Genomic DNA, 12,625 nt, shown 5'->3' on the forward strand with positions numbered 1-12,625 from the left:
TGTTGCTCATCTCTGAGAGCCAAAAGCAACTTTTACTGGGGACTCAGGACCAGGTGGTGGCTGAGGGAGCAAGCAGGGTGAAGGACAAGGATCTTTCTGGAAACCAAATCTGCAGGTGTCCGGGATGAACTACCAATGAAGGGGGAGGGAGTTCAACATGTTTCCTATCTCGTGAACTGTCTGCCCTTTTGTAGGATAAAAGCTGCTGTGGAAGGATGCCTGTTTGCAAGGAGGAAAGAGCGAGCTTCCTGCTTCCCAGGTCCCTGGCATGCTCCCCCTGGTGGAAAGGCACTCCCTCCAAACTCTTGGAGAGGACTCAGGCTAAAAGTGGCAAGCTACTTCCAAGTTCCAGGTGACCCATAGGCTGTGATGTGAGTCTTAGCTATCTTTTAAGTAGTACTATAGTTCTATGATTAGTTCAGGCACAACTCATCATCTGAGAGCCACTCATTGCAACGTGGAGTTGCTCTCTACCTTAGTGCACAAACTGAGAAGGACGCTTGGCTTTTGAGACAACGTGGTGTTTAATCACCAGGATAATAGAAGCATCACAAAATACAGTAACAGGATGGCCCAGGGTGAGAGAAGCAAAGCGTACACAGAGTCTGGCTCATACTTATACGGCTTCCCTGCCAGCACAGTCTTCCTCTCGATCCAAAGCAGATAATTGGACAACTCGGTGTACACTCCAGGCATGTTCTTCTGGCCACAGCCCACACCCCAGCTGATAATACCCAGCTGGTACCATGTGCTTTTGTTCTTTTTCTGGCAAACCAGAGGCCCCCCTACTGTCACCCTAGGAAAGAAAGGTTGTTTGGGAGGGGAAGGGGCAGGAACAAGTTACTCCTATAGCCTACTGAGGTGCAGCCCGCTGGCACTAGGCAAAAAGCACTTATGGCACCTTTTGATGAACAGACTTCTTTTTTTTAAGAGTCAGGGTCTTGCTCTGTTGCCCAGGCTGAAGTGCAGTGGTGCAATCATAGCTCACTGCAATTTTGAACTTCTGGGCTCAAGCAATTTTCCTGACTTGGCCTCTGAAAGGGCTGGGACTACAGCCTTTGGGACAGTAGTTTTGATTAGGCTCTCCAACCACATAGCTATGCTCTGGGACTTCTGGAGAAGAAAACAAACAATTTGGTCAACAAGGACTCTCAATCATCACCATCTAGTCTCATGCATTAGTTTTATTATTATTTTTGAGACAGAGTCTCACTCTGTCACCCAGGCTGGAGTGCAGTGGTGCAATCTCAGCTCACTGCAACCTCCACCTCCTGGGTTCAAGCGATTCTCCTGCCTCACCCTCCCGACTAGCTGGGACTACATGCAAATGCCACCATGCCTGGCTAATTTTTGTATTTTTAGTAGAGATGGAGTTTCACCATATTGGCCAGGCTGGTCTCGAACTCCTGACTGCAGGTAATCTACCCACCTCGGCCTCCCAAAGTGCTGGGATTACAGGCGTGAGCCACCGCGCCCAGCTCGTGCATTAGTTTTAATACAACAAGGGCTGGTTTTATAATCTATTTTACCTCTAAGCACTTTTGTATGTTTTTTTCAAAATTCTTCACATTTTCCCCCTGCCTTTTCACCCCAAATCCATTTTCAGCCAACCCATTTTTCTCTTCCTGTGTTGTTCACAATAACAAAAAGGAAAAAACACCAACAAAAACCCGTTGCACCTCATAATAGGTCTCTGGACGAATACAGTAGATACACAAACTGACATATGCCAATGCAAAAATTACAAATATTGTATCAAAATGTTATCTTGTGGCACAAAACATTGAATTACAAAAAACTTACAGATTCTAAAACATGCTGAAAAAGATGACCAAATAGCACAAATAAATGGAGCAGACGTAATTAATGTGAAAATTGAGGAATATGGTAACTCTCATGGTTTTCAAGGTTTCCCCAAATCCTTTGGACCTTTCAAAAACTTCTATTAAAAAGTAATGTATAGTGCTCACTTCGCCAGCACATATCCTAAAACCGGAACAACACAGAGAAGATTAGCATGGCTCCTGCGCAAGGATGGCACGCACATTCGTGAAGCGTTCCATATGTTTACATCACACACCAGGGCCTCTCGGCGGGGTGGGGGCCAAGGGGAAGGAGAACGTTAGGACAAATACCTAATGCATGCTGGGCTTAAAACCTAGATGACGGGCTGATGGGTGCAGCAAACCACCATGACACATGTATACCTATGTAACAAACCTGCACATTCTGCACATGTATCCCAGAACTTAAAGAAAAAAAAGAAATGTATAATGATAAAAAGTTGGAAAACTCAGATATGGAAAAAGACCATGAAGAATACCCATAACTATATAAATAAGTACATTTATATATAAACACACACTACATGATGAGCAGACTTTTTTTCATACACGATTTTATACACGATTGTGTATGAAAAGAATATTTCAGGAAGAATACATATCCATGTAATTGCCTTTGGCGAGTGGACTGAGAATGAGTGTAAGAGGTGAAATTCCTCTTCATTGTGCAGCCATCTGTGCTACTTGAACTTTCTCTATCGTATATTCAGATAAATAAATGAAATCAACAATCCTTCTAATTCCACACATGCAGAGGCAACTCCTGTTGCCACCTTCAGATGTAACTTTCCACACCCTCGTCTATCAATGTGCACCCATCATATTTTACAGAGATAGGATCAGGATGTTCACATTGTTTCACAGCTTGTAAGACTTTATTTTTAAAAATGTTAAGTGACACACAAAATGTTGAAAAAAATCACCACTCTATGTGATGCAAGTCCAAATACAAAACATTAAAACAAACAACTTCCTTCCCAAAGCCAGGTATGGGTTTATTTTATTTTTTTTTAACCAGGTTGCCATTATGAAGAAATTGCTGTGCTCATCAACTTACTTTGAACCAAGCTGTTCTTTACCGAATGCCCTGAAGTCATTGGAAAGTCACACTACCTTGCTTTAAAGTGAAGAATTAGAATTGTTTCTCTGAAGATGAGGGAGGTGCATGAAGGATGTCAGGTACAACAGTGGTACGGTTTGGATCTTAAATTTCTAAAGCCACGTAGGCCTTGATTCAAACTCCAGTGTGAATATTCAGTTGAATGAATCTAAACAGTTTCTGAAGCAGTTTAAGGCTCAGTTTTTACATTGATGGTAAAAGTAACATCTCTCCTGCAGGACGGCTCTGTGAATGGAAGGAAACAGCTCGATCCAGGTCTCTAGACGTGACAAGCATTGACTCAGTGGAAAGTCCTGCGATTTTTGTGGTTTTTAGACCAGGCAGATCTGGGCATGACTAGAGGAGGTTTTTCCTGGGACGCAGAAGGCGGTTGTAATCCCAGAGTCCGGATGCCCTCGTTAGAATTCTGGGCCTGTAATTCGCCTTGCTGGGGTGTCCTCCGCAAGACTTTCAGCTTCTCTGATCCTCATTTTTCTTATCTGAAATAGGCCTGTCTCACAGAGCTAATTCCCAAAACTTCTGTGTATTTGTGGCAGCCGTGTGTATGCTATTGAGAACTGGACGGGAGTGAAAGAGAGTGATGAAGACAACAGTCTATACAGCATCTCCTATTACCTGTTAGCTCAGTGCTTCATGTGCATTACCTCACTGAATTCTCGCAACAGCCCAAAAAGGTAGGAACTCTTACTATTCCCATGTTACACATGAGGACATCGGAAAAGGCACAGGCACGGGGGATACCTCTTGCCGAGGTCACACAGGCAGTTCAAGTAGGGGAGCCAGGAGGGAGACTGGGTCATCTGACTTCAGAGCCTGCACCCCTAACCACTGCCCCTCATTGCCTCCCTTTTGTTACAGAGGACCTGTTCTTTTAAGATCTTACAGACGATCTGCACTGGGTTGAATAGTATCGTCCCAAAATTCATGTCGACCCAGAACCTCAGAATGTGACCTCATTTGGAAATAGATCCTTTACAGATATAATTAGTTAAATTAAGATGAGGTCATAGTGGATTGAAATAGACCCTAATCCAGTGACCTAGCAGAAGTAATTCCTCCGACTGCCCCAGAACCCATCGGGGCCGACAGCTGGGGGTGTGGGGGCGGCCCTGGAATAGGGGCTGTGGTGGTACGCCTGGCTGCAGTGGTTGTCAGGCTGCAGTGGTTGTGGCTGCAGTGGTTGTGGGGCTGATGGGAAACTACTAAAGTTTGGGGGAAGCAAGTAGAATTTCCTAAGAACATAATGGATGGAGAGGGGAAAACCTGTGGTGGCTGTGAAGGTCCTGATGCCGTGTATGTCTAATTAATATCGTCCGATGGCCATGAATTTACTGTAAAAATAGAACGTGCGTTAACTTCAAGCATGATAAAAGCCATGTTAAGCTTAAAAAGCTTAAAAGCTTTTAAAACAGCTCCCAGGCCAGGCGTGGTGGCTCACACCTGTAATCTCCGCACTTTGGGAGGCCGACGTGGGTGGATCAGCTGAGGTCAAGAGTTCAAGACCAGCCTGGCCAACATGGTGAAACCCTGTCTGTACTAAAAATAAAAATAAAAAAAATTTAGCCAGGCATGGTGGCGTGTGCCTGTAATCCCAGATACTAGGGGGACTGAGGCAGGAGGATCACTTGAACCTGGGAGGCGGAGGTTGCAATGAGCCGAGATCTGCACTCCAGCCTGGTCAACAGAGCAAGACTCCGTCTCAAAAAAAATAAAAAATAAATAATAAATAAATAAAACAGCTCCCAGCCTGTGGCAGAGGTTTGATAGTCATTGACCATGGACATGGAACAAGGCTACAGAAATTCTCAGGCTCCAGAAGATGGATCCATAGTAGATGTTAATGCGCCGCCCTTGCTCTAGCTGCATGATGTCATGGTTTTGCGTTAGACCTGGTAGGTGCTGCCCTGTGGATCCCACCCCGTGACTACTGAGTCAGCAAGCCTGGGAACTGACCTTGAGAGCAAGCTCCCTAGGGGAGTCTCCTGCCCACCGAGGATGGAGGGCCCTGGAGAGGCACATCCACAAGGAGTCCCAGAGACCCACGTGCCAGGAGCTGCAGGCCCAGGGCAGCAGCAGGGCGACCCGCAGCAGGAGGGCTGCCCTTCATGGCTCCATCCTTTCATCAGCCCTGGTCCTCCCATCAGCCACAGAGAGGCTTCCAGTGTGGAAGGGGGGCCAGGCGGGGCTTCACTCTCCACGCCCGCTAGCTCACAGCCCAGCCTGACTGCCTGGGTCACAATAGGGAATGGGTGGCGCTGCCACAGTCCAGACAAAGCCGGGGTCACCCTGAACCCTGTGGGGTGCGGAGGTCAGGATGGAGCTGGGGGCGAGAGGCTCGGAGTGGGAGGACTCCCCAGCCAGCTGTGCTCCTATAAGAGGCAGCGTTTCAGCTTCCTGAACCTGTCAGGACAAAATAGCTGGAAGCGCACTCTAGAAATAGCCTTGGGGAATGAGAAGGACTCAGGCTGCTGTTCCAAACCGCTCAAGTGAAACAGCAGACAGGGCACTGGCTGTGGGAACTTAGCAGAGTCCCTTAGCTTTGTGCCTCTGATGACTCCCCTGTAAAATGTGGATGATGATAGCACAGCACTATGTGGTTGAGAGGAGTAATGAGCTAATCCGTGTATCCAAGCACAGGCCATGGCAAATACCAAGCCCACGATTCTAATTCTCCCATTTCATCTCTACTAATGTCTTCCTGCAAAGGAAGGCACTTTGGCCAGCAGTTTCTATGAACAAGACACGTCCAAAGTACAGATCCATGCCTGGATCAGCTGCAGGGTGGCTTTTGGTGGTGCCATTCTTTCATTTCTTTGTTCATGAGGTCATCCAGAGCTCTTTGGAGCATTTTCTACTTGCTGGGCTTGGAGGACAATGCAAAGATGAACAATAGATGTTCTCTGTCTCTTTGAAGGTCATAATCATCTGGAGAGACACATTGGCAGAGAGACTACCTTAATACAATGGGGTAAGAGTATCACTGGCAGCCAGGGGAGGGGCACGGGTGTGTGGTCGGTGGGAGAAGAGGCGAGGGGGAAAATTGTCTAGAGGAAGTAAGGATTGTCTGGGCTAAGCCAATTCCCAAAGCGAAAGCCCTAGAGGGAGGGAAGGAATGCATTTGTTACGGTTTAAGTGATGGTCCCCCAAATTCCTGTGTTGATGTTCTAACCCCCAGACCTCAGGATGTGACTTTATTTGGAAGTGGGTGCTTGCAGATGTAATTGATGAAGAGGAGGCCATGCTAGAGTAGGACAGGCCCCCAATCCAATATGACTAGTGATCTTATAGAAAGGGGCCATTTGGACACACTCACCCACACAGGGAGAGCCCCATGTGAAGACTGGAGTTGTGCTGCCACAAGCCAAGAATGTACCAGAAGCCAGGAGGGAGAAGTGGAACAGATCCTTCCTAGCACTTTCAGAGGGAGCCCGGTCCTCCTAACATTGGGATTTTGGATTTCTGGCCTCCAGAGCTCCTGACAATATTTCTGTTGTTCTAAGCCACACAGTTTGTGGAACTTTGTTACAGCAACTCTGAAACTCAAGCCGCATTCTATCTGGGCAAAAAATATGTGCAAAGGTACAGAGGTGTACGGGAACTGCGGGAACTTCTGAGTTAAGTCAGAATTGTTGTTTTGGTGGTTCAAAAATAGGAGAACATTGACAAATTTGCATGGTTCAAGTTAAGCTATCAAGTTGGAATAATGTACCAGGTTGAGTGGTAGATGGGGGGGATCAGTTTACTGAATAAAGCTCCAGTTGGAATAAACTGTGTTCCCTCCTATGCGGCCAGTGAATCGTTCTGATAAGAAATCACCATGGATGTGACAGGTGTATGAAGAATGGCTAGTATTACTAATTAATGGCAAGGAGCTCTGGTTGTGAACGTTTTCCAAAATTCCATACATAAGGGAAGTTTGCAAACATTTTCCAAAATTCTATCCATATTCTATTTTAGGAAAAATGACTATGGGACTTTCTTTCCCCAGCTGTTTTGAGGCTTTAAAATTTATCTTAGAACCTCTTGGAACTATCCCATCAGAATAACTGGAAGCCAGATAAAACATTAGGCAGTTCATTCATTTTATTGGACGTGGAGTTTTGTCAGAACCAGCATTTACTGTACTTCTCATAGCTGTAAGCAAAGCATTAGAATTCAGCAACCTAATGCTTTTCTTTTCTCTGCCAAGCGGGGTCGTGAAATGGGAGAGAAAGCCTCCTTGCCTCTGTTCTTTGCAAACAGCATGTATTTATTTGGGGTCAGTAGAGCAAAACATCTGATCGCTGCTCTAAGTGTTTGCAAACTTTTGGGCACTGGAGGGGACATGCATATGAGATGGAACAGGGCATAGATAAAAGAATTCCCGCATTACCCACCATCCTGCCCAAAGAAACCACACGACTTCCATGGCAGTCCCAGACTACAGAAAGGGAGAACACAGCAAGCGCCTGCATTCTCTTCATTTAGGCCCCAAGTCATCCAAAAATTGCCTACCACGGCAGTAGACGAGTTCACATTTTAATCAAAACAGGACTGCACAGAAACATACGTCCACGTGAAAACCAGTACCCAGTGTTTATGGTGGCTTTCTTTTTAATTGCTAAAAACTGGTAACAACCTAAATGTCCATCGTCAGAGGAAGCGATGAACAAACTGCGGTGCATTCACACAACAGCGGTGCTACACAGCAGCGAAGAGGAGCAGCCGACTGACACGCACAACAACTCGGATCTCAGGAGCATCGCACCGAGCTGGAGAAGCCAGACACGAGCCGCTGCACACCGTATGATTCCATGGCATTCTGGGAAAGGCAAAACTCCAAGCACAGAGAACGCATGAGTTGTTGCCCAGGTTTGGGGTTCCAGGAAGAGGATGGATTACTAAGAAGCACAGGGGAATGTTTTGGGGTGATGAAAATGTTGTATGTCTTGTCTTTTTCTTTTCTTTTTGTGAAACAGAGTTTCACTCTTGTCGTCCAGGCTGGAGAGCAATGGTGTGATCTCAGCTCACTGCAACCTGCACCTCCCAGGTTCAAGCAATTCTCCAGCCTCAGCCTCTTGAATAACTGAGATTACAGGCACATGCCTCCCCGCCCAGCTAATTTTTGTATTTTTAGTAGAGACGGGTTTTCACCATGTTGGTCAGGCTGGTCTTGAACTCCTGACCTCAGGTGATCCGCCCACCTCAGCCTCCCAAAGTGCTGGGATTACAGGCATGAGGCACCACATTCGGCCAAAGTTCTATGTCTGGTCACAGCCATTTACATTCATCAGAATTCACAGAACCATCCATCCTGAAGTGGTGAATTTGCTGAATAGAAATTATACCTCAAAGACCAGACGTTCAAAAATGCCTTTGTGTTTTGTAAGCTTCAACACTCGCCCAGTGGGAACCACAAAAGCGTTGCCCAATTTGTTGAAAGCATTGCTGTTATAACTTCAGCGTGTGGGGAGAAGTTATGTTTTCATACTGTCTTTGTCTGCTCTGGCCACCGTTACAAAACACCATAGACTGGGTGGACTGATCAACACGCATTTCTTTCCCACAGTGGAGGCTGGAAGTCCCCAAGACCCAGGTTCCTGGGGAGGGCTTTCTTCCTAGCCTGCAGGTGACCAACATCTGCTGTGTCCTCTTGTGACTCTTCCTCAGTTCCTGTGCCAGAGGGGTCGGGGGACAAGTGGGCGTCCATCTTGTAAGTGTCCTCATAAGGCCACCATCCTGTCAACCAGGGCACCACCCTATACCTTAGTTAACCTTAATGACTTCCTTGGTGGCCCCCCGTCCCGTTGCAGCCAGGGTTAAGCTTCAGCGTGCAAAGTGAAAGGCCACACAAATCTTTGTCCGTAACAAATGCCCCGTGGACAGGACACTCCGGTGCCCTGAGGCTGCAGGAGCTGAGGGTGATCTTGCTCAGGTACTTCTGGTGGTACCTGCTGTATGGGGAAGAAGTCTGTTCCTCCTGGCTGGTGTCAGAAGTAACCAGGCTGAAGCCATGCTCTGAAAGAACCTGTGCAGGGAGAGAAAGACCTGTTTGAGACCGACCTGAAAGCTCTCGCAGGGGAAAGAACAGGTAAGCCTGGCTCCCTGAAGGTCCCGGGGGAGAATGGGCTTCCCTGAGAGGCCTCATAAGGGCCGCAGTGGGAGGGAATGAAAGGGGCGGACAGGGTAGGGATGGGGCAGGGATGGGGCAGGGATAGGAGGGAGGTCTGCAGCTGCACCCAGCACTACTCCCTCTGCCCACCAGTTCACAAATGTGACCCCGGCCCCCTCCCAGGCTGAACAGAGGGTCCCCCTAATTTGCTGTGGCTCTAGGAAGCAGGGGCCCTGCTGGGACGTCCTGGCGAGCAGGGGGTCACTCAGGGTCTGTGCTCTGAACTCCAGGCAAGGGAGCCTGGGGAGTCAGGGCAGGAAAGGACATGGCCTGAGGGCCTGTGGCTCATCACCACCCTCTGCGTCCTAGTTTACGTTCTGGTGGCATCTGGTGCCAGGGAAAGCCACTCGTCAACACAAGCTGCGGGAGGAGAGGGGAGCTATTTGGAGCAGGAGACAGACTAAGAAATAGACATTGCTCCCCGTGGATTTCAGCCCTTTTGGGTTTCAGCTGTGCCCTAATTCTTCCCTGTACGGGGACAGCTGGATCTTTGCAGGCAGTGCAACAGAGCTGCAACTCCAGATGTAGTGATTCCACTTTGGACAGAGGTGCCAGGTGGGGGCCCCAGACTTGTGTCCAGGAGGGCATTGTCTGTGTGCCACAGTCCACCGGCCTCCTGGAGGTGAAATCCCCATGCCAGCCAAGAGGGGTACGCAATGCCGACTTAGAGTTCAGCATCACTCCACTTCTCCACTCGCCATCACTCCTCACCTTCTCCTGGGCCCTGCCCTGATTTTCTGAATCTCCTCCAGCCCTCTGCGGTGGAAATGAGGAGGTCGATGGCTCCGAAACCAGCAGGTCTGGGGTGTTAAGGAAGATGGCCCTAAGTATATCAATTAGGAAGGGCTTCAGAAGGAAACAGGATTCTACTCTGAAAGTGCAAATGAAGGCATTTTAATGAAGGCACTGAAAGTTGTGGGCGTTGTAAAGGGATTCAGCGAAGGAGAACAAGATGTCCAGAGTTGAACAGTAGCAGTAAGCCGTAGGGCAAGCTACTGTCATTGGAATCCAGTGAGGGCCGCAAGCGTGAAGGAGGGACTACCCTGTGGGGACTGAGTATAGAAGGGACCCAGCCAGCGGCAGAACAGTGGCCCACATAGGAAAGTGACAGGGAAGAAATACCCCAACCCTCTCCCTTCCTGCCCTGGTACTTTCTGTTGGTACTTGCTGAGGTCAAGCTAAGTGGCGTTTAGGATCCCAGGTAACTCAGTCCCTAGGAGCCAGCCTCCCAGGACCCAGGGAAGTACAGCACATGGATCTGTATTGGGGAAATGGGAGACAAATGGAAAATAATGGCTTAGCATCATCTAGCACATTCTCACAGAGGACAGAGTTGACAGCTGTGAGCTATTCTGATTTTAGGGCTGATAAAGACACCACACTACCCATTATTAAGCCTTATCATGTACACTATACTATGCCCAGGATTTGCAAGTGTTATCTTGCTTAATCCTCATAGCAACCACATGAGGGAATTACTCTTCTTGTTTTCCACATTTAGCAGGTCAATATGCCAGATATTATATACTGATTTTTAGCACCATCGCTGCCTTTCTAAATCTCTCAGGTATTGTAGAGGCTGAAAGCCTAAGAGCTGTGTTTCTCAGGATCCCAGCAGGCTTCCAATTTAGATTCTCAGCCAAGTTTTAGGAGGCAGAGGAAAGGGAGCAATCATTTTCCCATGGCAGCTGTGTGCAGGCATGCAGATTTCAGCAGATGGCAGTCATGAGGTTTTGCCATTAACTTTGGGTCTTCTGCAAATCATCCTGATACTGAAGATAATTATATCATTTGCAGGGGGTTCCAATGATTCCTGTAGTTCACTGAGCTCTTGTAAAGAAGCAACCGTTTTTCCTGACCTTGACACTCAAGCATTTTTGATGGTTCTAGAAGTACCCATTTTCAGGTATTAAATACCTTTCTGTTTGAGATACATGATTGTTTTCTATTTTCCTGAAAGAATCCTGACTGATACAGTATTTGGTACTGAGAGTGGTTCCAGGAAATACAGCTGCAAAGATGGAGGGAAGTCTAAGATGTGTTGTTAGGCTTGGATTAGCTTGAAGCCAATAATGACCTCCTGGCTAGTGGAAAATGGGTTTCTGGTAGTCCATGACATGCAATGTCTTAAGTTATGGCCTGTCATTCATGGAATCAATTGCCTGTTAAAAGACACCAAGCACCTTTTTGATAGAATACTCTGGTGGAAGAGATAAGTACAAGGGTTAAAGTTACTGAATGCAATGGAAAATTTACAGAAAAAATACAGCACAAAATACCCCAACAATCTCAGGGCTTTAAAATTTCAACTCAGAGGCATAATTCAAAAGCATTGGAGAAGCATCAAAGAAGCTTCTACAACTGCCCCTGAAAGAATCTCTTATCGTAGCAGAAATTGAACCCAGGGTTGTTCCTACAAGTTGGCAGAATTACAACCTAACTTGAATTCACAGCCTCTTTAGGTGCTTCCATGAAAGGTGATTAATGGGGAAGGACTGCGACCAGGAGTATTGCACTGAGAAACTTGGGTATGTTAAGATGAATCAACGTACTTCACAACCTTAAAGTCCACTGAGTTTCCCTTCCTTTCCTTTCTGGGAACCTAGTCCCTTCTTGCTTGAAGACTTTGTAAAGACTCACCTGAAGAAAATACTTACCCAGGGAATGCTGATTCTCCCATAGCCCACTACCCCCCATCACCTCTCACAGCAGTCATTACAGTCATCCCAGTAGAATTCATAGAAATCAGTTCAAATCTGACCCAGGAGAAGATAGAAAACATTAAAATAACTGCAACATTCTTCTAACATATATTTGTAGAAATCTGATGATTATGTCCAAGAATGGATTCTAAGGGACTTAGAATTTGATTTGACTGGGCCAAATTTATCAGTCTAGGTGCACTTAAGAGAAACTTTGAATTCAGTGGTTTACCTAGAGCAGCTGGAAGTGGCTCTATTTGGTTGAAGAACTAAAACCTTGGACCAAAAAAATGGCCTCCGTTAAACAGAATTGCTTTCCAGAATATAAAAGAAGGAATCCAAAGTCTTAGATAAGAATGCCAGAATGGATTTATTGTGACCTGCTCCCCCATCCTCTAACTCTAGTTTATGAGATTCCTGAGGATGCTTTGTTATATCAGGCATCGAAAAATACATTTCCAAGGAGAGCACCAGCATCCTTGGAAGGCCCTGCTGTGGCCATCGTCTGTAGGCTGGGGGTGATGTAGCACATACCCATCTGGTGGAAAACTGATCACAGTTGACCCATTCCCTCATGGAGTAGTCAGCAATTTTCCATCACAGTAGTAGATATTTATTTATTCTGTCTATGGATGTGTCTCCGAGGCCCACAAGGCCTTTGCTGCCTCATCACACAAAACTTCCCCAAATGCCTGATTATTCATCACAATGGTTTTGCATTTGGCATTACTTCTTACAAACTGATTAAAACGCGACAGATTAAAATGCAACAGACCTGAAGCAATGCACTCGGTGCCCATGGGATTCA

The 12,625-nt window shown here is 46.8% G+C and overlaps 1 protein-coding gene, 2 long non-coding RNA genes and 2 pseudogenes across 6 annotated transcripts in view; 2 read left to right on the forward strand and 3 right to left on the reverse strand.

Annotated features, from left to right (window-relative positions):
• Positions 1 to 304: 304 nt before the first annotated feature.
• LINC03022 (long intergenic non-protein coding RNA 3022) lies at positions 305 to 7,714 on the forward strand. The gene is made up of 5 exons (NR_120604.1): positions 305 to 371; positions 2,863 to 3,034; positions 3,501 to 3,638; positions 5,879 to 5,932; positions 7,601 to 7,714. It is a non-coding gene; the product is annotated as a long intergenic non-protein coding RNA 3022 (long non-coding RNA).
• LOC124901887 (uncharacterized) lies at positions 506 to 5,152 on the reverse strand. The gene is made up of 2 exons (XR_007060821.1): positions 4,918 to 5,152; positions 506 to 3,521 (listed from the first exon to the last, which is right to left on the reverse strand). It is a non-coding gene; the product is annotated as an uncharacterized LOC124901887 (long non-coding RNA).
• Positions 529 to 785, reverse strand: PRSS52P (serine protease 52, pseudogene; annotated as a pseudogene).
• On the forward strand, positions 1,963 to 2,069 carry RNU6-729P (RNA, U6 small nuclear 729, pseudogene; annotated as a pseudogene).
• PRSS51 (serine protease 51) overlaps positions 7,033 to 12,625 on the reverse strand; it is a 66,431-nt gene continuing 60,838 nt past the window's right edge. For 3 of the 4 annotated variants that reach the window (XR_007060820.1, XR_007060819.1, XR_007060818.1), the window contains exons 4-5: positions 9,827 to 9,986; positions 7,033 to 8,971 (exon numbers count right to left, since the gene is read on the reverse strand). The gene's annotated coding sequence lies outside the window, so the exon portion shown is untranslated. The remainder of the gene's footprint in view (positions 8,972 to 9,826; positions 9,987 to 12,625) is intronic. The other variant, XR_007060817.1, reaches the window with a different exon arrangement.

This window comes from Homo sapiens, chromosome 8 (genome assembly GCF_000001405.40).
Source record: "Homo sapiens chromosome 8, GRCh38.p14 Primary Assembly".
NCBI lineage: Eukaryota > Metazoa > Chordata > Mammalia > Primates > Hominidae > Homo > Homo sapiens.